Raw genomic sequence first — 27,058 nt, 5'->3', positions numbered from 1 at the left:
CATCCTTATCCAAGAAGGGGTGGAAAGGTCAGACCCAGCTAACTTGTGTGATAAATGAGTTTATAAAGTAGGCTGTATCAGGAGACTAATTTAATTGGCTTCTTTAAGTGTGATAATACTCCACACTTCCAACAGATTTTTTCCTTTATTAAAATCTTAAAGCTGAGTGTAAGGCACACTTTGTCTACCTTAATGATATAAACAGCACCAATTGCTGCCAGGGCATAAAAGAATTCATTATTATTATTACCAACATTTGACCAAAATATTGAAAACAATATGTTTTTGTTTTTTCTTTTCTTGACAGTTTAGACGATTCCAAGTCATACAAGGACAAAGAAAATATATATTTGTCCTACTACCCCTCCGGGATATTTGGGCCCTCACTAAATACCCACTTCTGTTGCTCCCAAATTACAAATTAAGTAAACAAGCTTAGATTTAAATTAAGGAGTTTGTCTGTACACTTAGATGTGCATTATTGGCTTTAAAACTCAGTTTTCCTTATCTGTACTAGTGGAATGCTATCAGCTTAGGTCATAATCCTCTGGCTATCACTTTCTACATGAAGAGAAAGACATTTGTGAGACAATACCAATTTTAAACATAATTTTATACAAGTTCCCTGCCTCTTTTTTTCAGAATAGTTGGTAGATAGAACAGCTCTAGATTAGGAACACAGTAAAAACAAACAAACAAAACCTATGAAACAAAGAACCAGACAACATTTGCCTTTTAGAATGTTAAGAAAAGGGATAAAAGCCAACACAAGGTTAAATCCCCATAAAGTTTTCATGGAGAACTGTGTTGGTGCACCACATAAATGAGTCTGAGCTTGGAACTTCCGGATCTAATTTGACCTGTAAGAAAAATATTGAGAAACAAGGGGGAAAGATCCGATGCAGCATTAGATCATGTTTTCTGGTAGTAATTGATAGGGATGGTAATAGATGTTATACAAAACAGCCATCCAAAAAAATAAATAAGCAAATAAGATTTTAAGATCCAACGCAATTAGGAAATTCTATATTAAACAGGGTGAAATGGGTTTTTCTCTCCAATTTTTGTTGTTTTAAACTTCAATAATCCTCCAAACCTCTCATAAGGCACATTGAAATCTTCAAAAGAATAACAGTAATGGTAGAATTCTTGTTCAAGGAAAAGCTAAGTTTACACATTAAAATAGGTAGCCTGATGACACTGTCCTAAGATTTATAGGTTTTCTGTAATGAGTATGAAATACATTTTTCATCAGGAATAACAAAAAACCCTCTCCTTTTCTCACCCTTACATGTAATCCAATAGTATATCCTGTGAGCTCTCCCTCCAAAGTCCATTCTGAATCCAACTCCTGCTTACTGGCTCCCAAGACCACACCTCTAGATGCAACGTCCCCCCTATAAATGGTCACTTGGCCAGCCTTCCTGCCTCCCTCCTGTCCGTCTGATTTATCCTTCCCAGAGCAGCCAGCTGAAAGAATCTTCCTGACGTGTAAATCACATATATCTGCCCTGCCTGCAGCCCTCTGCAGGCCTCTTCTGCACCAGGACGTGCCTGTGCTCCTGGGAGCCCTCCAGGACCCCGCGGCGTATCTACTCATAGCCGCCCCACCCCTTGTTCCAAGTGTGCTGGCCACCAGGGCTTCTCAGGTCTCCGCACAAACCGAGTTCATTCCACTCTGGGGGCCTTTGCTCTTGCTGTGCCTTCTGCTAAGAATACTTATCAGGGAACCTACCCCGATAGTCACGTAGGTTCTTTTCTGTTTTCCCTAAGCATCAGCCCATTTGAGAAATAAAGGGACAGAGTACAAAGGAGAGAAATTTTAAAGCTGGTCATCCAGGGGAGACATCACATGTCCGTAGGTTCTGTGATGCCCCACAAGCCACAAAACCAGCAAGTTTTTATTAGGGATTTTCAAAAGGGGAGGGAGTGTACGAATAAGGTGTCAGTCACAAAGATCACGTACTTTACAAGGTAATAGACTATCACAAGGCAAATGGAGGCAGGGCAAGATCACAGGACCACAGGACCGGGGCGAAATTAAAATTGCTAATGAAGTTTCGGGCCCCATTGTCATTGATAACATCTTATCAGGAGACAGAGTTTTGAGAGCAACCGGTCTGACCAAAATTTATTAGGCGGGAATTTCCTCTTCCTAATAAGCCTGGGAGTGCTATGGGAGACTGGGATCTATTTCACCCCTACAGTCTACAGACCATAAAAGACGACCACACCCGGGGGGGCCATCTATAGACCTATACCCCCAGGTGTGTTTTCTCTTTCCCAGGGATGTTCCTTGCTGAGAAAAAGAATTCAGCGATATTTCTCCCATTTGCTTTTGAAAGAAGAGAAATATGGCTCTGTTCCGCCCGGCTCACTGGCGGTCAGAGTTTAAGGTTATCTCTCTTATTCCCTGAACAATTGCTGTTATCCTGTTCTTTTTTCAAGGTGCCCAGATTTCATATTTGTTCAAACACACATGCTCTACAATTTGTGCAGTTAACGCAATTATCACATGGTCCTGAGACAACATACATCCTCCTTAGCTTATAAGATGACAGGATTAAGAGATTAAAGTAAAGACAGGCCTAGGAAATCACAAGGGTATTGATTGGGGAGGTGATAAGTGTCCATGAAATCTTCACAATTTTTGTTTAGAGATTGCAGTAAAGACAGGCATAAGAAATTATAAAAGTATTAATTTGGGGAACTAATAAATGTCCATGAAATCTTCACAATCCACGTTCTTCTGCCATGGCTTCAGCCAGTCCCTCTGTTTGGGGTCCCTGACTTCCCCCAACTTCTCTCCCTTTCTTTTTATATAAATGTGCCATGGCGATGAAGGCTTGTTCATTCTCTTGATTTTGACGCAGGATTCTTTGACTGGTCCGGCACACTAAAAGCAAGCCGATTAAACAGAGAAATATAATTCTAAAATTTACTACGGTGGAGCCCCCAATAGACTTAATCCAAGTCGTGGGGTTTAATCCATAAAGATTTTCTGCCACCTGATCTAACGCCTCAGCTCCAGGCACAATGGATAAGTGAGCTTGAGAGGCTTCAAAAATTTGTTTCTTTAATTTAGTTACGTCCAGTGATAAATTATCTTCCCTACCCAGAAGGTGTCTTTTGACCATTTCCCATGAATGATCATTCTCATTATAGAAATACGGGGTGATGCAGAAATCTGAAGTATTCCAATCGCACTGCATTTGCATGCGATGCTCGAGACTCACTACCCGATCTCCAAGCCAAATAACAGACTGTCTTAAATCATTAATTTGATTTGCCAATTTTTGATCGATGCCTTGTTGAGAATTCCACATTTGGGTGGAATTGGCTTGCCAATCATTAACAAAATGAGCCGTTTGAATGGATTGGTGTAATGCCATTCCGGCAGTGGTGGCCATTGCAGTGACTGTAATTAGGCCCATGATAACAGCGATTAAAGTGAAAACAAATCTCTTAGATCTTTTTAGAATTCGCTGTAGCACTTCATTAATCCCCACTAACTGCCTCAATTTCATTGTTCAGATCTCAATGTACTTGCCACCTACCCAGACAGCTGCTCCTTGACCACCGATTTAACTAAAGCAGCCCCCGTCCATTTAATCTCCATGAACGCATATTGCCGCCGAAAATGATCATAATTAACTCTCAGGCTACCGATCACCTTTCTTTACTAGAATATGATCTCCTTGATAATGAGGATTTTTACTCAGCTGTGTCCACAGTGCTTAGAATGAATCATAGCACACAGTAGGTGCTTAAAAGATATTTGAAAAGGGATTGGGGAAAGGGACATTTATTTATTTAATTTTTAAAACTTCTTTATAAAATGTAATGTAAATTGACGATTCATAATTGTATGTATTTATGGGGTACAAAGTGATGTTATGATTTGTGAATTAATGTGAAATAATTAAACTAATAAACATATTCATCACTTTAAATACTTACCATGTTTTGGGGTGGGAACATTTGAAATTTGCTCTGTTAGCAATTTTGAAATGTATGACACACTATTATTTACTATATTCACCATGCTGTGAAATAGATCTCAAAAAAATAAAACCATTATTCGGTTTATTTCTCCTACCTGAGACTTGGTATCCTTTGACCATCATCTCCCCATTCTCCCAACATCCCCAGCTTCTGTAACCACCATTCTACTCTGCTTCTATGAATTCAATTGTTGTTGATTCCACAAGTAAGTGAGAACATGCAGCATTTGTCTTTCTGTGTTTGGCTTATTTCATTTAGCATAATATTCTCTAATTCCACCCATGTTGTCACAAATGACCATATTTCCTTCCTTTTTAAGGCTACGTAGTATTCCATAGTGTATATATGCATTTTCTTTATCCATTCATCTGTTCGTTCATGGACACTTAGGTTGATTCTGTAACTTGGCCATTGTGAATAGTGCTGCAATGAACATGAAAGTGCCGATTTCTCTTTGACAAACAAATTTCAAATATTTTTGGTAAATACCCCGAAGTTGGATTGCTGGATCATATGGTAATTCTATTTTTAGTTTTTTTGAAGAACCGCCATACAGTTTTCCAATGGTTATACTAATTTACATTTTCACCAAGAAAGGGACATTTATTGAGTACCTCATATGACACAGTGCTAAAAGTCTAATCTTCCACATAGACTTGTCAGCTACATGTCATCCTCATTTTACAGAAAGGGGAACTAAGATTAGGAGAGGTTAAGTAACTTATTGAGGGTGTCACAACTAGTTCCTTCCTGTATGTTATACCAATACTAAACTGGGAAAAATCTACTTCAAAAGTTTTACTTCGTAATCCCCAAAACCTTAGCAATACAAATCTCCAAACCCTAAGAACTGCTACCATAACAAAGCCTGCAGTTTCTCTCTTTCTAGTTATTGAAAAATATATTGACATTTTATTTATCAGACACTTGACTGTTCTAAATAAGTGATTTTTTCAGATAACTAAAGCTTACCTGTAAATGTCAAAACTTTTTTATTTACATCATGTTCGGTAAGATGTTTCTAAAATGTACTCTATATTTCTCAGTCTTCTTAAACAGTTTATTTAACAGAATTTAATGTTTTCTGAATAATACATGGTAATTTTTAGAAACATCAGTTATTATTCTGAACAAAAAGAATTTCCTATTCATCATAACAGAATTGGCTACATAATGTGCAGGGCCTAATGCAAAATGAAAATGTGCAGCCTCTTGTTGAAAACTTATTAAGAATTTCAAGATGACGACAGCAGAGAATTAAAACAGGCACAGGGTCCTTTGTGATTGCACAGGCCACATACTATGCCGTTGACCCTGTATCATGTCCACATAGTGTCTTGCACATAATAGGAATTCATAAGCACTTACTAAATAATATCTTTAAGACCTAGTGAGTGCTGTAGGGCTCATTTCTTTAAGTGAATTCAAATGTGGTAAAAATAAAAACAACACTAATTGAATTATATGTCAGGCTTTACATGTGTTTTCCCATCAGATCCTCAGAAAAGCTGGTGAGTTTCATTTAGGATTTCATGGCTGCATATAACAAACTCAGTTGGAGTGGCTTAATCAAACACAGGTTTTATTTTTATATACTTGATAAGGGTCTAGTATCCAGAACATCATTTAACCAAGGGGAAAAGTTCTGAGAAATGCTTTGTTAGAAGATTTCATCATTGTGCAAAGATCATACAGTGTACTAACACAAAGCTAGATGGTACAGGTTACTACACACCTAGGCTATATGGTATAACCTGTACTGAATACTGTACAATTGTAACACAATGTTGAGTATTTGTGTATCTAAATTATCTAAACATAGGAAAGGTATAGTAAAAGTATACTATTATTTTAACATAATCCTAGGGGACCAACATGGTATATGCAGGCCTATCACCATTAACTGAAACATTATGTGGTTATGTGGCATGGGGCATCACTGTATAAACCTAACAGAGTGGAAAACAGATGTTTAAATAGAAACTTATTTACAATGTTCATAGCAGTTCTGTTTACAATAGCTGAAAGGTAAAAACAACCCAAATGTCCATCAACAGATGAATGGACAAACAAAATGTTATATATCCAAACAATGGAATATTATTCAGCTATAAAAAGAAATACTGATATGTGCTACACGAGTGAGTCTTGAAAACATACCGAGTGAAATAAGCCAGAGACACAAGGCCACATATTATATCATTTCAGTTACATGAAATGTCCAGAAAAGGCAAATCTATAGAGACAGAAAGTATATTAGTGGTTTCCAGGGGCCTGGGAAGATTGGGAAATAGGGAGTGACAGCTTAATAGGTATAGAGTGTCTGTTTGAGATGATGAAAAAGTTCTGGAACTAGATAATGATACTGATTGTGCAATGTTGTAAATGTGCAATGTTGTAAATGTACTTAATGACACTGAATGGTATACTTATGATAAATTTGTTATGTCTATTTTACCACAATTTCAAAAAAGGAATGAAGTACTGACATATCATACAGTACTTCACAGATGTAAACATACAACATTGATGAAACTTGAGAATATTATGCTAACTGAAAGAAAGCCGATCACAAAAGGCCACATATTGCACAGTTCTATTTATATGAAATTTCCAGAATAGGAAAATCCATGGAGACAGAAAGGAGATGCGTGGTTGCCTAGGGTTGGAGGAAGAGGAGACTAGGGAGTGACTGCTAAGGAGTTTGAGTTTTTTGAGGGGTGATAAAAATGTTCTGGAATTACATGGTCGAGATGTTTGCACTACCGTGTGTGTGTGTGTGTGTGTGTATAAAACCACTGAATTGTACACTTTAAACGATTGAATTTTAGGCTGGGTATGGTGGCTCACTTCTGTAATCCAGCACTTTGGGAGGCTGAGGCAGGCGGATCACCTGAGGTCAGGAGTTCGAGACCAGTCTGGCCAACATGGTGAAACCCCATCCTTACTAAAAATACAAAAAAAAAAAAAAAAAATTAGCCAGGCGTGGTGGCATGTGCCTGTAGTCCCAGCTGCTCAGAAGACTGAGACAGGAGAATCACTTGAACCCAGGAGGCAGTGGTTGCCGTGAGCCAAGATCACGCCACTGCACTACAGCCTCGGTGACAGAGCAAGACTCTATCTCAATTAAAAAAAAAAAAAAGATTGAATTTTAGGTATGTGAATTATAATTCAGTAAAAGCTGTTATACAAAAGAGTAAAAGGTCCAAATACCATGCATGACATTTTGAAAAGTTTTGGAGTTTGGAGGCCTTTTTTGCTCAATTTCTGGGTGCTACAAATATACCAGTTGATTGACTTCACCGCATAAGGGACCTTCAGATAAATGAGCTATTTCTGAATAAAAGCAAGAAATTCAAACAGAAGGGTCCAGGGGAGAGGGGAACAGTTCCTTTTGTTGCAGTCTTTGTCTCTGCTTCTCTCATTTCTGTAATGCCCTTAGAACTCTCTGTTGGCCTTCCTAAGTCCTAGAATTCAATTTGAGAAACACTGGCCAAAGACACTTGGTAGAGCCAAGATAACATGTATCAGTGCCTCATATTTAATCTAAAGGACTATAACAGGTCATCTGAAAGTATTGGAAAGGGTCTAGAGTTGTTTGACACTCTCATTAGAAACCTAGTGATGAAGAGAGACATGTTGAAGAAATCTAATTGCCTAGAGGTGTTAAATGCTTTTGTAGATAAATATCTTGGTTCTGTACTTTAAAAATAAGGTAACCTGCAAAGTCATTCACAAGATTCATATTGAGGAACTTGAACAAACTGAAGCCCAGTGATATTACTAGAGACCTATAGCATATGAGGAAAGAGAAAAGCTCAAAGAAGTGACTCATTCTGGGGAAAAAACTCAGAAAGATCACCACTTACAATGAGCATAAGCTTCTATGCCAAAACCAAGCTCAGGGGAGAGGACCATGCCATCAAGAAGAGAGGCATTGCCCAGAACAGAGTTTTCTTCAAGAGACTTATGCTACCTCAGGAGTGGGTTGCTTCCAATGTAGGGCAATCCTAATTTTTGCAAATTAGAATTAAGGCTTTTTGAAATTATGTCATATAAAATAATTAACAAAGCGTTCATGGACAAAATGTAAAGAATGCAAATTCTGAAACAACATCTAAATGTATTAAAAAATCTTAATTTCCAAGCTTTTATATAAGGGATTTGTAATTGGGTTTATGCTATTGCTATAGTAGTGCCATTTTCAGCTGATAAATATAAATACTTGTCCTTTTTCTTTTGGTCATGATTAGGCTGAAATTAACAAACCTTTGAATTACACAATCTCTTTTGAAGTTCCTCCTTCATGGAATGCTACTGCTCTGTACCTCCAAGAAGAAACTGAGGATGGGAATTCCTAATTCCATGGATCTCAATAGAATAATGAGAGTGGAGGCTCCACAGAGGGCTTCTTCTCCAATGCAATCAGGACTGGGAGTTGGCTGGTTAATGAAAGATAATGGTTAAAGAGGTGAATCATAAGAAAAAAACATAGACAGACATATGAATGCTTGTTTTAAATTAAAGTAACTGTGTCCAGCTTTTGATATAAGGCCCAGGCTTTTTATTATACTCGAATGTCAGTGAGTTGACTGGAGTTCTGCTTCGTCTTTCTTGCATAAAGTGCACTCATTATACAACCTCTGCTGTTTCCAATGATAACTCATTTAAAGGGAACCAAAAACTTAAAGATACTATTGGACAAACTGAATGCAGAATCCTTCTAGAATTTTATAATAGCCTTTCTATTTTAATCATTGCCCAGCAACTTACTTTTATTGAATCTTGTCAAAATATTCGACCAGGTTTTCAAAAGGACAGCCTTGATTTTTGCATTCATATTTCATATATTTATATAATATTTAACTTAATTTACTTATGAATAATGATAAGTTTAGCTGATATGCAACAGTCTGGGGAACAAATAGTCTTGAGTCTGGATAAGTATAGAACTCAACTATGGTAGCAGAAATACACGGAGGGTCTAGAGAGTGGCCTTCTAGCTGTGGTGCTCAGAGTGCAGTATCAATCACAATGTTTCCCTGCAATATGCAGCATATCTCAGCAATGTGTCAGGGCCAGTTGGAACTGCTCTGCAACACCAGATCTGCACTGCCTCCCTTCCTCTTCCTCACCGTTGAACATTTAGTTGCAAGCCCTCCTTCCTCAAACAGCTGAGCTACTGGTGGTGGCCAAGCCAGACCTGCCCTGCTCAGTGCCTCCTAGGCTTCTTGGCCCACCAGCTGTGTGATAGCATGGGCCCACAGACTGGTCCTCATCACAATGTTGTGGTGTGACTGTTCACTTTACCGTGCCCAGGGATGATTCTATAATCCGTGGCTGGTTTGGCAACATAGTTCTGTAACATAAGAAACCGTTCCTGACCCCTGAATGCTAGATCCAGATGACAATGCTAGCCCAGAGCCATTTTTGCCACCATATAAAGTAATTTTGTTGGAGTCTCAGGATGACATAGTAGGAGGTACAAAATACAGCAAAAGTCCCCTTTGGATGCTCCCTCAGCCTAGCCAACTTCACATCTTAGAGAGCTGACCTTCATCATCTCCCTAATGCATTTACATGGGGAAATCTAGGGAAGCCCTCAGAGGCATATTCATTGAATCTTGACAAACTTGATATCATCTCATATCTTCATTGACACCTGTATCATTTAAATTGGAAGAGTAAAGTCAAATTCCATGGTGTTATCTACCAGAGTATACAGCCTCACCCATCCTAAAACCTGGTGTTCGCCTTAGTCAGTTCCATAGAATACCAGCCTCCTTTCCCTTCCTTTTTAGCTACACTGAATTTTGGGGGGGTGGTGGGAGGTATACAGTTTTTGAAAGATTTCATGTAAAAACTAAGGGAAATGGGAATCCAAAGTTCAAGTTGGGTTGGAAAATTCTTGAGAACCCCTAGTATTAAGAATGGAATAAAAATTCAAAATGATGCATATATAGTAGAAAAGGGGCTAAAAATAAATAGAAGTTACACATTTCTGAATTTTAGAGGAGGAATAACAGACTTTGAGAAAATAAAGGCACTTGGAAAATCTGTGTGAAATAGTTAAACTGAAAGACCAGGGGCTGCTGGGCAGGAAGTAACTGAGTCGATGGGTCCAGAGGGCCTTGTGCTACAGCACCGTAACAGAAAGAGAACCGCTTCCAGGTCACATGTTAGGGTTGTGCTCATTTTAGGGTGCCAGATCCTCTTTCCATGTTTTCCCTTTGCCTTCTTTATCAAACCCTCTTCAAATGAAAGCAAGGTTTCTACATTGTCTCATGACAGGTATCACTTTACATTGATTGGCTTCATGCTTGTACAAACCTCTCATGTTACCAGAGAATGCACCTCCCAATTGCTTAGATATTTGTCCATCTTGAGGGGAAAATTTCTTCCTTTGCATCATCTTGGTACTTATTTATTTTTTTTATATCAAAACATTTATTTTTTGTGTTACAAAAACACAAATAAATCCAAGCAGATAATGAAATAAACTTATTTTTTTAGTGTCCCATCCTGGGTTCTCTGTCCTAGAATGTATTAAGCAGGTCAAGTTTAGGTTACTTCAACACTTCTTCTGGACGCTATGAAGTCTCCATCTTATAACCATGTTTCTCTAGTTCAGCTCTATGATAAAACAGAAAGAACATCACGTAACTGATTAGAGAAGTCATCCTCTACATTGTCATCATCCCAATTATCCTCCCAGACATGTGCATGTTCATCTGCATCTAAGTCAGCCCAGTCTTCGGCAGGGAACTTTTCAAACTCGTCATCTTCCTCTAAGAAACCTAAGTCTACCGGCTGCTTTTTCTCTGACATCTCGACTGTCTGCGCCCAACACCTCCCAGATCAGCAGAAAACCATCTTGGTACTTATGAACTACAAACTCTGTAGCCTGGTTGTTCCTGGCAGTAGCCCCGTGAAGTTTCTACTTTTGTTTCTCAGTGAAATTCCTCCAAAAATGTTTCCTCACAAGATACTTCTCTTCCAGCCCACCTCCAGTTGGACTCAATTTCTTGGGCCTCATTTGGTGTCTTTCAGGACCCTCATAAACCTGCATTGTCACACATACCCCAGCAATGTGTTCAAACAAAGCCATCTCCATTCTCTAGCTGGGTCTACACACCTGCAAATTCTCCATTGATTGTATAAGCCACCTAGCAGCTGTCCCTTTGTCTGCATGGGTTAATTGATTAAGCACTGACTATACCAAGGCAACTCTCAGTCCCCTGTGTTAGTCTGTTTTCACACTGCTCTAAAGATACTACCTGAGACTGGGTAATTTATTAACAAAAGAGGTTTAATTGGCTCACAGTTCTACATGGCTGGAGAGGCCTCAGGAAAGTTACAGTCATGATGGAGGGTGAAGGGGAAGCAAGGCATGTCTTACATGGTGGCAGGAGAGAGAGAGAGAGACTGCAGGGGAACTCCCACTTTTAAGCCATCAGATCTCATGAGAACTCCCTCATTATCAGAGAATAGCATGGGGAAACCACCCCCATGACCTAATCACCTCTCAACATGTCCCTCCCTCCACATGTGGGGATTACAATTTGACTCGAGATTTGGGTGGGGACACAGAGCCAAACCATACAATTCTGCCCCTGGCCTCTCCCAAATCTCATGTCCTTTTCACATTTCAAAACCAGTCATTCCTTCCCAACAGTCCCTCAAAGTCTTAACTCATTCCAGCATTAACCCAAAAGTCCAAGTCCAAAGTCTCATCTGAGACAAGGCAAGTCCTTTCTGCCTATGAACCTGTAAAATCAAAAGCAAGTTAGTTACTTCCTAGATACAATAGGAGTACAGGCATTCGGGAAATGTTCCTGTTCCAAATGGGAGAAACTGGCCAAAACAAAAGGGCCACAGGCCCCATGCAAGTCTGAAACCCAATGGGTCAGTCATTAAATCTTAAAACTCCAAAATAATCTCTTTTCACTCCATGTCTCACATCTAGGGCATACTGATGCAAGAGCTGGGCTTCCAAGGCCTTGGGCAGCTCCGCCTCTGTGGCTTTGCAGGGTATAGCCCCCATGGCTGCTTTCACCAGCTGGCGCTGAGTGCCTGTGATATTTCCAGGTGCACAGTGCAAGCTGTTAGCGGATCTACCATTCTAGGGTCTGGGGGATGCTGGCCCTGTTCTCACAGCTCCACTAGGCAGTGCTCCAGTGGGGCTCCAACCCCACATTTCCCTTATGCACTGCTCTAGCAGAAGTTCTCCATGAGGGCTCCACCCCTGCAGCAGACCTCTTCCTGGACATCCAGGTGTTTCCATACATCCTCTGAAATCTAGGCAGAGGCTCCCAAAGCTCAACTCTTGTCTTCTGCACACCTGCAGGCCCAGCCTTGTGGAAGCCACGAATGCTTGGGGCTTGCGCCCTCTGAAGCCACAGTCCAAACTGTACCTTGGCCCCTTTTAGCCATGGCTGGAGCTGGAGTGGCTGGGATGCAAGGCACCAAGTCCTAAGACTGCACATAGCAGGGGGCCCTGGACCAGCCCAGGAAACCATTTTTTTCCTCCTAGACCTCCAGGCCTGTGATGAGAGGGGCTGCTGCAAAGATCTCTGAAATGCCCTGGAGACATTTTTCCCATTGTCTTGGCTATTAACATTCGGCTCCTTGTTACTTATGCAAATTTCTGCAGCTGGCTTGAATTCGTCCCCAGAAAAATGGGTTTTTCTTTTCTACCACATGGTCAGGCTGCAAAATTTTCAAACCTTGACACTCTGCTTCCTTTTTAAACATAAGTTCCAATATCAGACCATCTCTTTGTGAACACTTCCAGAATCTGCCAGGTCACGTCTTGAATGCTTTGTAGCTTTCAAATGCTACCCTAAATCATCTCTCTCAAGTTCAAAATTCCACAGATCTCTAGGGCAGTGGCAAAATGCCACCAATCTCTTTATTAAAGCATAGCAAGAGTGACCTTTGCTCCAGTTCCCAATAAGTTCCCAATAACCTCTTCATCTCCATCTGAGACCACCTCAGCCTGGAATTCATTTTCCATATCACTACCAGCATTTTGGTCAAAACTATTCAACTAGTCTCTAGGAAGTTCCAAACTTTCCAACATCTTCCTGTCTTCCTCTGAGCCCACCAAACTGTTCCAACCTCTGCTCGTTACCCCGTTCCAAAGTTGCTTCCACATTTTCAGGTTATCTTTATAGCAGTGCCCCACTCTGCCAGTACCAATTCTCTGTATCAGTCCGTTTTCATACTGTTATAAAGATACTACCTGGGACCAGACAATTTGTAAACAAAAGAGGTTCAATTGACTCCTAGTTCTGCATGGCTGGAGAGGCCTCAGGAAACTTACAATCATGGCAGAAGGTGAAGGGGAAGCAAGGCATGTCTTACATGGCAGTAGGAGAGAGAGTGCAGGGGAAACTGCCACTTTTAAACCATCAGAACTCGTGAGAACTCCCTCACTATCATGAGAACAGCAAGGGGAAACTGCCCCCATGATCCAGTCACCTCCCATCAGGTCCTTCCTCGACATATGGGGATTACAATTTGAGATGAGATTTAGGTGGGGACACAGAGCCAAACTATATCACCCCACACCCCAGCTTGCAGGAATCTAGTCATCCATATATTGTTGATATGTGTGTTTTACTGGTAATTTGTGCAAAAAGGTCAAATCACACAATGTCAGCACCTCACTGGAGACATCCATATAGACACCTCTTCTCTATCCTCAGGAGACTGCAGAAACCCCTCCTCTGACAGCTACCCCTCCCCGAGGCTTTTTCCAACTCCACCTGCTTAGTATGCAGAAGAGCTTTCTTCTCTACCTTGAAACCAAGCCCTAAGGCTTCCTTACATGCTGGCTTACCAAAACATCTTCTCAGCAAAGGCTGGGTCTCTCCCTACACAGAAATTCTCTCCTAGCAGATACACAAAATTGAAAGCTTTCTTCATGCAGCTCCAGTTGTACCTCTGATTTCCATGGGTCAGCCAACTTCTGCTTTGCCCACAGCTCCAATTCTTAAATGGCTCCCTCCATCAGGTTCTACTGGGCCCTGGGCTGCAGTCATGCCTCTTCTTTGTGGACTTCTGATTTTCTGGAAGCCTTCCATCTCTCCCTTTCTAGGCACCTTAACCTTGACCATCACACACTGCTACCTTAATACATTCTCTGATAAGATTTATCAGCAGTCAAAACTGTCACTCAAACAAGACCGCAAAGCAACTCTCCTGGGGAATCATTCTTGGTACAAAAGAAACTAGGGATTTCATTTATTTTGCAGCCATTAGCTTTTCTCCTCCACCATCATCCAGGTTATCTCTAATGGTCTCCACAGCTTTCTCCTAGGGTGGTCTGGTACGGTCCTGGATTTTATCCCCATTATCTTGCTTAAATTCTTTAATTATCTCAGATTCAATAGCGAACCCTTGACCATTATACGTCCTTTAGGGGGACCCATAATGGGATTGTTCTTAAACTTTAGGCTGCACAAGAATGTCCTGGAGAGCCTGTTTAAAAGGCAGCCCATTGCCTACAGTTCTGATTCAGTAGATCTATGGTGTGACTGAGGAATCTGCCTTTCTCACTACTACACCCAAGTGATTCTGAGGCCAGAAATAGGAGCCTCATATTCTTTCCCAAAGTGGGCCATTCATACTGCTGCAACCCAAGAGATTTTAATAGTTATGCGTTTGTTTTAATTTAAATTTTTAAAACCCTATAGACTAGCAAAAGCATGATTTCATAGATATTGCTTAGAAGGCTAAGCAAAAATGGTGAGTTAAGAGCATGTGGGCCACCTGTCTTCAAACCCTGGCTCTGCCATGGGTAGACTATTTAACTGCTCTATGCCTCTGTTTCTCCATCAGTAATATGGGACCTATAGCACCTAACACACAGAATTCAAGAGTAAATGAGATAATGTACTTAGAACAGTGCCTGGGACAGAGTAAGTACTCAGAAAGTTTAGAAATTATTATCCCCTGTGCGTTACCATATTTAAAGCATTCCTTTATTTTTTGATGTTTTCTATTCTTGAGAATGTTTGTGATTCCTGAAGGACATGATTCTAGAAGCAGAAAATCCACATATAATAAAGTAGGAGCAGCAACAATTGTGCCTATGTTTAGTACTTCCCATGGCTTGTTCATGTTGGCTTTTTGGTTTTTACATTTCTCCTTAAGACTGACTTTTTTGTTATTGTCGTTCAAAATGTCTTCCCATTCTAGACTACTAAAGTCTGGCTCAAACAAACATGACCATTCTCTCACACCAAAAGCAAGAGGCTCTATAACCTTCCTATACCGTTCTCATTGCTCTGATCCTGAGACTACAGGACATAGCCTGTGCAGGTGGGGAGCAGTCTCTTCACTATCATTTGTTGTCTTCAGCTTCTCTTTTTCTCTACCACCAAAAGAAAAGTATGACCTTAGGTTGAAAAAGAAGGGAATTACTAAACACAAACTTGTCAAGCTCTAAGACAGTAACTCTCAAGTATTCTTCTTAAGAACTGGGCTTGTCACAGTCAACCCTCCAGGCAGAAAGTTAGCCTTCCACCACTCCCTCGTACCTCTTGCCTGTCTGAATTTTCTCATCTTGTGATCTGGAGTTTACCTTGGTAGTTTTCCTGACCTGAAAGATATTAGGACTCCCTTTCTTATATTTGGATCCTGCCGACAAGACTGCTTGTGAGGTGAGGAAACGCCACATTTCCATGGTGGCGATGCGCCACTGTGCACACGTCGTTACTCTGTTGGCGGGTGGCAGGGCTGACCCTTCGCTCTTGGGCGCTGGAATCTCCACTGAGATGCCTCCAGCTGAGCAAGCTTTTTCTGGCCTGTGTGGTCAGGTACCTTCTCCTGAAGGAGTCGTCATTGGTTCGGTAGTGACATGTCTCACAGGATTGCCATCAACCTTTCTTTTCTTATGTTGGCTTTTTGGTCAGTTTATTGTTCCTGATCTTCTCAGTGATGTATAGATATATTGCATAGGGAACCCCGGTGACTAGCTTACTATTCCGTGCAGTTAGCGGGGATCCCCGCAAGCAGCTCTGAGGCCCTAAGAGAAGTCCAGCATTTTACTATATCTTCTGCCATTAGCAAGTTTTCTTAAAATCTGCATATAATCTACTTAAAGATGTCAAGGCTGTTTCTGCTTTATTCTGCAAGAGACAATTTTTGGTTTTGCAAGTTCTAGTATGGGTGGGTGGTGGCTATGGGAGAGACTGCACATCACAAAGCAAACCTATTTCTGGATAATAGCAGAGGAAAATTTTGCAGATTCCATACTGGCTGGTCTAACATTGCACAGCTCTGTGTAACTGTAAATTAAGAAAAGCAGGCCGGGCGCGGTGGCTCACGCCTGTAATCCCAGCACTTTGGGAGGCCGAGGCGGGTGGATCATGAGGTCAGGAGATCGAGACCATCCTGGCTAACAAGGTGAAACCCCGTCTCTACTAAAAATACAAAAAATTAGCCGGGCGCGGTGGCGGGCGCCTGTAGTCCCAGCTACTCGGGAGGCTGAGGCAGGAGAATGGCGTGAACCCGGGAAGCGGAGCTTGCAGTGAGCCGAGATTGCGCCACTGCAGTCCGCAGTCCGACCTGGGCGACAGAGCGAGACTCCGTCTCAAAAAAAAAAAAAAAAAAAAAAAAAAAAAAAAAAAAAAAAAAAAAAGAAAAGCAGTACTAAAGCTACAGATATGCCTTTATTTCCCCCAGCTTTTATTTTGAAAGATTACAAAGCTACAGAAAAGTTCCAAGAATAGTGAGATGAACCTCCATATAACCTTTATCTAGATTTCCCAATTACTAAACATTTTGTTACATTTGCTTTCTCTCTCTGTACATATGTATAGGTGTATTTGTTTATGTGTGTATATATATATATATATATATATATGCTTTTATATGCATACACATTATTTTGCTGACACTTTTCTCCTAATAATAAAGACATTCTCTTACATAACCGTAAGACTGGAAATTTAACATTGATATGATAACATTACATATTACAGGCCATATTCAAATTTCTTCAATTGTCTCTTCAACCTCCACCTCCTGGGTTCAAGCAATTCTCCTGTTCAGCCTCCCGAGTAGCTGTAATTACAGGCGCCCGCCACTGTGCCTGGCTAATTTTTGTATTTTTGGTAGAGAGGGGGTTTCTCCATGTTGGCCAGGCTGGTCTCGACTCCTGACCTCAGGTGATCTGCCTACCTCGGCCTCCCAAAATGCTGGGATTACAGGCGTGAGCCACCGTGTTTGGCCTCTTCAGTCTCTTTTAACCTACATCAGTTCCCAGTCTTTCTCTCTAGTTTGCAACATTGATACACGTATTTTGTTACCGATGTTTTGTTTTGCAAAGTGTTTCTCAATTTGATTTGTTTGACTATTTTCTCGTACTTAGATTTAGGTTAAACTTGGGTTTTTTCAGGAGGGGCAGATGACATTGTGTGCATCAAATTAGGGACCTCTCAATGTGAGTTTGTACCTCATTGGTGGTGCTAAGTATGTCTCTTGGTGAAGGCAGTAGCCACCAGATTTCTCCATTGTTAAATGTACATTTTCCCTTAGTAATAAATAAGAATCTATGAGGTAAAATTGTTTGAACATTTTATTTCCCAATGTTCTTTCATCCAATGATTTTAGCATCCATTAATAATTTTTGATGAAATAAGTATTATGGTGGTTGTAAAATAATAATTTCCTGTTTCTATTATTCCTTCTACATTTATTAGTTGTAGACTCTGTACTAAAAGCCGGAACATTGGATAATTGTACTCAAAAGCAAAATGGACAGAGAGGGCTAAAGCTAAACACTCTGCATGCATTGTTTCGCTAATTCTTATAAAAGCCTGTAAAGTAAATACTATCTATATTTTATTGAGATATTTTAAACTTCTGTGATTAATACGAAAGTACTGATATATAGATATTACACCACAAATAGACATTCAGGATAGAACACTCAAGAATATTCACAGAGAGAAGGAAGCTTCCAACAGGGCCAGAATTAACATTTCCTTTATGTACACCTGATAAAAATATTTCTGCTTTTAGGTATGTGTATGTCCGTGTGAATTTAACCAGTCCTTTAATGATGTTAATCCAGAAGCACACAGCATATATTAGGTAGTTAAATACACATTAACTGCTTAGATAACTTTATACCAAAGTTCTCAGCTGACTTCAACTTAACCAACTTGCCAGATTCACAGACGCTCTCCGTTCCCTCTGTGAACCGAATTTTCTGATATGCACAGCATGCTGGGCACTTGAGGGCAGTAACTACTCTCCAATGTATCCAAGGACTTCTGCTCCCACTTCTGCTGTTATTTACTAACCAAGAGTCTGTTGTGTTTGTTCCCAGGCCTGTTTGGGTTAATTAGACTTGTGATTGTAGTATTTTAATTAATTAAATTAAGCATATTTTAATTAAATATTATGAAAATTGTCAAACTAGATGAGCAGAAAAGAGTATAGTTGTTGTTCTGAAACAGAGTTGAATGCTCTGGAAAGTCTCGATTTAAAAAAAAATGACTATTACAATAGGTGTTAGTAAGAAAAGTTTAAAAGACTGGAACAGGAATCATAAAAACCCCAACATGGTCTAGATTAAGAATGTCTGAGAAATGTCTGATTCACTTTAGATAAATTGAAACTGGAGAGAGATGTGTTATGGATGTGATTTATGCAAAAAAGACTTCAAAATACAGATTTATACTAGAATAGAGGGGAGGTCTTGACTCTACATTTAAATATTGTCAAATGAATTTGCATGTGCCATGTTATTATAGTTTTTAGAATTTGGGACTTTAACCAAATATTTTTATTAATTGGCTCATTACTGGTTTTGGTCTTATCAAATATGAGCTTCTACTGTAAAGATCTCATTCTACAATCATTCCTAATTAAGGTTTCTGTATCTTTAAAAAGTCTCAAGTTAAACAACCATTTTAGATTCTGTAAAAAACAAACAAACAGACAAAAAATCTGTAGACCCAACTGACCACTGCAGCCAAGCTTCTGGTTCTCCGAACAGACAAATGGAGCACAACAGCCCCCTACCAGTAAGATGACACCTAAACAAGGTTTATATGTGCTGAACATCCCTTAGGAATGGCAGAAAACATTCTGGGACTTTATATGCAACTTTTATATCATATGTTATATGGTGCATATTATTTATAGGTTAAAGTTTCTATTGAATTTCTGTATTTCAGGAATGGCTACCATTTCTTTTGAATCTCTCTAAATACCTAATACTGTTCCCTGCTTTTCCTAAATTAGACCTTAAAAAAATTAGCTGAGAAGACAATATATAATAGTTCAGTACTGCAGAGGCAGAGAGTCCACAGCCTGTCTAGCGGTGTACATCTGTAGCCCTTTCCTCTTCTGACATGAGCTCCAGCTTTTATTTGGCTTCTGGCTGGAACTGCTACTTTACCACCGATCTAGAGCAGGGCAAACTGCCGCTGTTCATCTCGTAGGCACTAAATAAATATTTGTGGGTGACCTTTTTTTTCTTCACTTCGGAAAAATATTAAGGAGCTCAGATGACATCTAATATCCAGGACACAAAGACCACACTCAGCAGCTAGACTGCCCCTGTGTGTGCAAGGGGGGCCCAAGAGGGAAGGGGGAGGTAGACCCAAATGACCCCTACTGTGCTCTGTCCTCCAAGTAAATCTGTGGTACAGAATCAGTCTCTCCCCGCAAGGGCTGGACAACCAGCCTCACCCTTTCAGCTGGCAAATGCAACTGAGTACAAAAGCATGGGCATCAGAGCATAAATAGAGCAGCGTCATGTCACATCATGTCACATCGACTTTGGTGGAGTCCCACTGTTGGCTGAATCTAGTCCTGACTCCTCAGGCTGACATCTGAGCCCAGAGACTCCATGCCTGCAGTCCACCTTCCTAGCTCTGTCTTACGACTCTCATACGGATACATCATACTCCAGCAAAATGGGAACCGCTCTTCTCAGATACGCCCTTGTTTTTACCCGAATTGCCTGCCCAATCCCACTCAAAACAACCCCATTTTTGCCTATTAAAATCTGACATCACTTTTCCTTGAAGCCTTCTTTGACTTCTTTAACCCATGGTCATCTCCCTCCTTTGAACCCCGCTGAGCATATTCTGACCCTTTGTGCTGACTTTTTGCCGACCTCCTTACCCTCCTTGGGGGCAGGTACTAAGTTTTACTCAATTTGAATTTCCTCCAGTACCTTGCCTAGTCAGCACCTTGCACATAGAAGGTGTTTGACCTTTAAATAAATGTTTGATAGCTGTTAGTTGAATTATACGAGTTTTTGACTCTAGAACCAAGTAGTGTAATGCTGGAAGAGTTTAGGAAATATTTTTAGGAACTAAAAGATACATAGATTTGGAATGAAAATGTTCTACTCTAACCATGAAATTCTCTGAGCCGAAACATAATTCAGATAGACTATTTGACTTCCAGAGATGCTTCTTATGTATGCTATAAATAGGGTTAGTGTTTATTCCAAGGCAATTTTTATTTATTGGACACAAGGAAAAATATTATTTCTTTCTCTTGACATTTTACAATTTCTGTCTTCAACAGTTTTGACTCACATTGTTAATCTAATTTATTACTAAAATATCAATAGTCTTTTAAAATTATTTAAGATTGTGTCTACATTTTTGGCAGTTAGTGGTCAAATACACAATCCTAATGCTTGAGACTTCAAATAAATACAGGGAACTACTCCTTATATGAAAGGCTTTTCTATAATTTATTATTGATACATTCTATAATGATGTATATATTTCCTCCTTGCTTTTCTGCCACAGAGTTGGGTGGCAGGCAGCTGAACAAGCACTAAAGAACTTTCCCTATTAACTTTATTCTGCTGTTCAGGATGGATTGTGACACTGACAGCATTATGGATCACTCAGCATCCTTCCCTCCCCCTTATTTTTTCTAGTACTTTGTTCCCTTAAGGCTGAGGGCATTTCAAGGTGGGTTCAGTGCATTAAATATGTGTGTGGTCTGACTACAGTGCCAGGATGGTATACACTAATGATCTCATTCCAGATTCTGGCTTCATTTTTATCTCTTGTGTGTGCAGTACACTCAGCTAGATCATGATCAGCAGACACATTCCCAATTCCACTCATCTTGCTAATTTCCACGTGTGCCATCCAAGCCAGTGTATTTCTTATGTTTGGAGGCAATTTCCCTTAAATGTGGCCATCAAGTAAGATTTTGAGCATCTAAAAATGAAACAAATGGCTTAAAACTACAATGAGACAAAGAAATACATTTTGTTGGCTTCAGAATAATAACTGGACTTTACTGCTTAAATGAAAAACTGCTGGTCTATGGTGATAGGAGAAAACACAGTTACCTCTCTCCAAAATTCTGGCCCAACAATGACCTATGAAAGAAAATCTTGTTCTAGCCTGTCATACTCAAATACTTTTAAACAAATGACTGGAAGTTCTGAATGATATATAAAAGGTGATCAGTATTTCTTTGGCTCAATGCCCCTTTGTATAAACATAGGAATTCAAGTCTTTAATCCGTCTCTTTTGTCACCTTGGGGTTTGCAGAGCTCTCATAATACACTGAGGACTTTATGTTTGCAATTCCTTCTGCCTAAAATGTTCTTCCCACAGATGTGTACGTGGCTTGCCCTTTCATCTCCTTCAGGTCTTTGCCCAAATGTTCCCTTCCTTCTCAGTGGGAGGTTACATAGGGGCAAAGCCTATTTCTATCTTCCCTCCCTGCTTCATTTTCTCCATAGCACTTATGACCACCTGAATGATTATATATTTTTGTTTATAAACTGTCTCCCTCCACCACTTGAAGCTGCGTGAAGGCAAAAGTTTTTGCCAGTTTTATTCAATGCTGTATGCCTAGCCCCTAGAAGATTCCTGGCTCATAGTAGGTACTCAATAAGTATTTGCTAGACAAAAATAATGAATTCAGTTTCTTTCCCCCTTTATTTTCTCCAGCCATCTTTCCAAAACATAAATCTGATCATGTTACTCTCATGCTTATGAACATTCAATAGCTCCCCCTTACCTACAGAATACAATTAAAATGCCTCAGGTTGGCATACAAAATCCCAACCCACCTCTCTACTCTTTCCTCTTAGCATTCATCTCCCGCGACCTACAAGCCAGACACACGGAACCCTTGACATTGACCAAAACTGCCCTGCATCTTCCATCTCTATGCTTCTGTGCACACTGCTCTTTTCACCTACAGTGTCTTCTCTACCATTCTATCTGAGCAACTCATGATTAGCCATCAGCACCCAGGTGAAACTTGGGCTCCTCTGAAAAGCTTTCCTCCTCCATCCCAGGCAGAGTCAACTTGTCCCCTCTCTGGGCTCCTAGTTTTATTATATTTATTATGTAGTATTAAACCACAATGCCTTTTACACCAATCTAATAGCATGGATGACACAGGGATACAGTTATCTATGCATCTTTCTTCTACTACAAATCTGTGATATTTTGCATAGTAGTTAAGACACAGTTGGTGCGTAATCCCCCTTCCTTCATTTATTCTCAGCCATGCCTCAAAACTGAGTCTGCTCCAGTTATGACATAGAAACTCTTCAAGAACTGGAAACATCTGATAATAATCTTTGAACCCTGGTAGGTTCTCTAGAGATTGACTGCAAGGTTTTTGAACACAATTTTGAATGAATAATGGATGGATGGATGGATGCATGGATGCATCCACCAGAGGCCAAAGTTCTAGGTACTTTCTTATGTTACCTCCCTTTTTGGAAATACTACTTTTATGCATAACTGCTTCATTACCATTCTTTCTTGCATGTACAGTCGTACCCTCATGTGCCCAATTAGACGATTCCACATGATTTGGGGGACGTAAATGATTAATTGAAGACACAAGTGATTAACTCTGGAGAGCTAAATGTTACGTATAAAAAATGAAAAAAAGAAAGGTTCATTTGAGGCCAGACTGAAAACCTGGACAAAAAAGTTAAAGATACTGTGTACAAAGCAGCAGCCTGCAATTTTTTAACTTCTAAATGTATTATTCGGTCTTCAGGGAATAAACAATGAGCAAAGAAAGTTAGAGTTGAATGCACTGGAAATTGTTTCGTACTTGATTCTGAAAAAGGATTAAAAGGACTTGACATAGAATGAAGTGATTTTATCAAGGTAGAGGACACTGTGGAAGAAAGGTCATTGAATGTAGCTGAATATACAGAGACTGCCATAAATCATGTTAGCAATCAACACATCCAGTGTTCTATGCCTACCAGCAGTGGCCCGTGTTTGAAAGGAAGGTGTAAATCCCTCATCCAGCACCAAGTTTTGCAATCCTATGCAGTAAAAAAGTTCCTTTCTAAGCCCATGCAGGGATCAGAATATGACCATAGTGAATAGTCCCCATTTTATTCTGGTTATTACATACATGGGATGGGAAAAGCAACAGCAGCCACAGTGCAGGATCAAGTGACAGCAGCCTTCTGGATGTTCCAGTGGTTTCCACATATGAGACATGGAGTCTGTGGCCCTTGAAGGTCCTTCTCTCTAAGTATCTCATCTCCTACCACTCGACTTACTCAAGCAGACTCCTAATCCAACACTTGGAACACAGAAACTACTCCCTTCTCATCTACCATTCCCGAGCTCCCGCTGAACCCATCCTCTTTATGACTTGCTGGATCTCACCTTGAAAAAACAATAAGATATTTATGGCAAAGAATGCCAGTTTTCTTCACTACCTTGTCTTCTTCCTCATAATAATAGAAAGCCCAAGTTTTATCGGGGCACGTAACTTGCTCAGATCAAAGGCTACATTTTCTTGCTTCCCTTGCAGTAAGATGTGGCTTTGTGACGAAGTTCTGACCAGTAAGATGGGAGCAGAAATGGCATATACAATTTCTAGGTTGTTTCTATAAAAGGAAAGAGTATGCCATTTTGCTGACCAGAATGTGGGCATAGTGACATTGTCCTGAACCATGGGGATGAGAGCAAAGCAGCAAGATAAAAGGAGCTTGGGCTGCTGCTGACTTCTCAGAGCACAGATGCCCACGAGCTCAGCCTGAAATATGAGAGACAGAGGACTTTGATTGTGTTTAAGCCACTGTTATTTTGGATCTCTGGCACAGCAGCTAAACCTATAGCCTAACTTAGACAGTCCTTCACAAGGTGACCTGCCCACCAAACATCTTTTTCCATCCTTGTTTTACAACTTCTTCCGCAGTCTCCACCCTTCATACTCAACTCTCTGTGCACATGGAACTTCTTACCTTTTCCCAAGCAAGGCACTCTCTTTTATGCCCCTGTCTGTACATGCTATTCCTTCTGGATCAATATCTCAATGTGTCAAGCCCTCATTCAACTTCCAAGGCCCATCTTAAATATAGGACTGTTGGTCTTTTTACAATTACAGATAATTGTAATTATTTGTTTTACCTGTCTATGTAGTGTATTCTCTCCTTGACCCTCTAAGTTCACTCTCTCCCCTTCTCCATCCCGCTGTGTGCCCTGTGGGGCTGATGTCTACGGACCTTACAGCCCAAACCACAGTCCCTTGCCCTCTGGCTTCCAGGTGGATTTGGCCAATGGAAGTTGGGAGATGGGGAGGTGGGGAGAAAAAGATGTTAAGGTATTTATTTTCCCACCTTCCTCTCAGCCAGGCCACAGTTTGGTAGGTTCTGGATTTCTGGAACCTGGATAAGGCCACAGCTCCTCTCCAGCAGCCCTGGCCCATGGCTGTAGGTCTCACCAGGCTGGCCCAGTACCAACTTCTTGATATTGCTGGTCTCTGGGTGTTTCATCACATCTGTGGTTTTCTTAATCTTAGCCATTCATTTATAAATGTTTCCACAATTAAGTACTCTTCAAATTACCTTTTTGAGTGTGCCATCTATTTCCTTCTGGGACCCTGACCCATACTATGCCTCATTAGACTGTCACTAGACTATGACAAACTTGAGGTTAAAGACCAGGACTAAGATGTTTTCCATCCCACTGTCAAGTTCAGCACCTAGCTCATAGTTTTTGCGTAATAACTCTTTGTAGAGTAAAAACTATTTCTGTCCATTCAAGATTCTTACATAATGTCCCAAAGAAGAGGACTGTTGACTTTTGGCATACAGTTTAATTTACATAAATCTACATTGTGAATTGAAACTCTCACCTTAATTTCAAATGAATGTAAAATTCTTTTCTCTTTTCTTTTCCTCTTTTCCTTTTTATTTTATTTTTTTGAGACAGGGTCTCATTCAGCCATTGCCCAGGCTGGAGTGCAGGGGCACAATCACAGCTCACTGAAGCCTCAACCTCCCAGGCTCAGATAATCCTCCCACCTCAGCCTCCCGAGTAGCTGGAACTACAGGGATGTGGCACTACACATGGCTAATTTTTTGTAACTTCTGTAGAGACAGTGTTTTGCCATGTTGCCCAGGCTGGTCTCAAACTCCTGAGCTCAAGTGATCTGCCCACCTTGGCTTCCCAAAGTGCTGGAATTACACACGTGAACCACCACACCCAGCCTTTCTCTTTTCTTACTTACGCACTCATGTATAAGCTAAATTTCACTCCAAATATTCACTCCATTTATTTCTTCCAGCTTGTTTCATTTGCTTATCTGATATCTTATATTAATATCTTCTAGTTAGCTATATCTTCATTTAAATTTTTGACCAAAAATATTTAGCCAAGAGTCAGGAACTGAGATCTGTGGAGTACCACTGAAGACTCTCTTCTGGCTGACATTAACGTATGAATCAACACTTTCAGTACTTTTGTTCCATTGCTTTGATACTATTTTGAATGGATTGTTTTCTTAATTTAATTTTAGAATTGTTCATTGCTAGTTCGTAGAAATGACTGATTTTTTATATCAATCTTATATCCTGCAACTTTGCTGAACACGTATTAGTTCTCATCCGTGTGTGTGTCTGTGTATGTGTATTCCTTAGAATTTTTTATATTCAAGATCATGTCATCTGCTAATAGAGATAGTCTCTTCCTCTACAATCTGAATGGCTTGCATCATCTCTGGATCTACCAAGTAACTGGCATTGCCTCCAAAATGGTCAGAATGAAAGAGTTGGAAAATGGTTTGTTGAAAAAAAAAAAATAGTTGTTTACTTGATGTTTTGTTGGAGGGAAAAGTAGCTATATTCCTCATAAGGCTTTCACAAATATTACTTTCATTCACTTATAGTTTTATTAGAGAAAGCAGGGGACACCTAAGGATGTAACTCTCAGTAAATCTACAATGACTTTTTTTTTTTTTTTCAGATGGAGTCTTGCTCTGTCACCCAGGCTGGAGTGCAGTGGTGCAATCTCGGCTCACCGCAACCTCCACCCCCTGGGTTCAAGCAATTCTCCTGCTCCAGCCTCCCTAGTAGCTGGGATTACAGGCATGCGCTACCACGTCCAGCTAATTTTTGTATTTTTAGTAGAGATGGGGTTTCGCCATGTTGGCCAGGCTGGTCTTGAACTCCTGACTCAGGTGATCGGCCCACCTTGGCCTCCTAAAGTGCTGGGATTATAGGCGTGAGCCACCATGCCCTGCAAGACCAATGACTTCTTATATGGAATTTTAAAAACCTGGCCAGAGGGCCGGGTGTGGTGGCTCACGCCTGTAATCCCAGCACTTTGGGAAGCCGAGGTGGGTGGATCATTTCAGGTCAGGAGATCAAGACCAGCCTGGCCAACATGGTGAAACCCCATCTCTACTAAAAATACAAAAATTAGCTGGTCATCATGGTGGGCACCTGTAATCCCAGCTACTCGGGAGCCTGAGGCAGGAGAATCGCTTGAACCTGGGAGGCAGAGGTTGCAGTGAGCCGAGATGGCACCACTGCACTCCAGCCTGGGCAACAGAGTGAGACTCGTCTCAAATAAATAAATAAATAAATAAATAAATAAATACCTGGCCAGATAATAAAGATCCCATTATGCAGGGTATAGTAGAACAGCAAATTTTACAGTGTGGATTCAAATTCCACTACTTCATAGTTATGTAACCTTAAGTAAAATAAGAGAAACAATACCTGTCTTCCATGACTGCTATGAGAATAAAATAAAAATAATTGATATAAAGG

At 40.4% G+C, this 27,058-nt stretch overlaps 1 long non-coding RNA gene and 1 pseudogene across 2 annotated transcripts in view, besides 2 other annotated features; both read right to left on the bottom strand.

Moving 5' to 3' along the window:
* Window positions 1,129–1,726: an enhancer, noted in NCBI's record as "H3K27ac hESC enhancer chr5:81197417-81198014 (GRCh37/hg19 assembly coordinates)". NCBI's record gives its function as "activates a minimal SCP1, AML or CMV promoter by ChIP-STARR-seq in primed H9 embryonic stem cells {active_cell/tissue: H9 hESC(primed)}" and the evidence as "EXISTENCE:reporter gene assay evidence [ECO:0000049][PMID:30033119]".
* Window positions 1,727–2,325: an enhancer, noted in NCBI's record as "OCT4-NANOG-H3K27ac hESC enhancer chr5:81196818-81197416 (GRCh37/hg19 assembly coordinates)". NCBI's record gives its function as "activates a minimal SCP1, AML or CMV promoter by ChIP-STARR-seq in naive H9 embryonic stem cells {active_cell/tissue: H9 hESC(naive)}" and the evidence as "EXISTENCE:reporter gene assay evidence [ECO:0000049][PMID:30033119]".
* The window catches only part of LOC124901018 (uncharacterized), a 48,297-nt gene continuing 23,068 nt past the window's right edge, over window positions 1,830–27,058 (bottom strand). The window contains exons 4-6 of one of the 2 annotated variants that reach the window (XR_007058843.1): window positions 10,336–10,638; window positions 8,275–8,447; window positions 1,830–2,896 (exon numbers count right to left, since the gene is read on the bottom strand). This is a non-coding gene — a long non-coding RNA (uncharacterized LOC124901018). The remainder of the gene's footprint in view (window positions 2,897–8,274; window positions 8,448–10,335; window positions 10,639–27,058) is intronic. The other variant, XR_007058844.1, reaches the window with a different exon arrangement.
* On the bottom strand, window positions 10,433–10,886 carry SEM1P1 (SEM1 pseudogene 1; annotated as a pseudogene).

Source organism: Homo sapiens, chromosome 5 (assembly GCF_000001405.40).
Source record: "Homo sapiens chromosome 5, GRCh38.p14 Primary Assembly".
NCBI lineage: Eukaryota > Metazoa > Chordata > Mammalia > Primates > Hominidae > Homo > Homo sapiens.
Note: the sequence above shows the minus strand (reverse complement) of the source record. Positions and strands in the feature narration are given on the sequence as shown.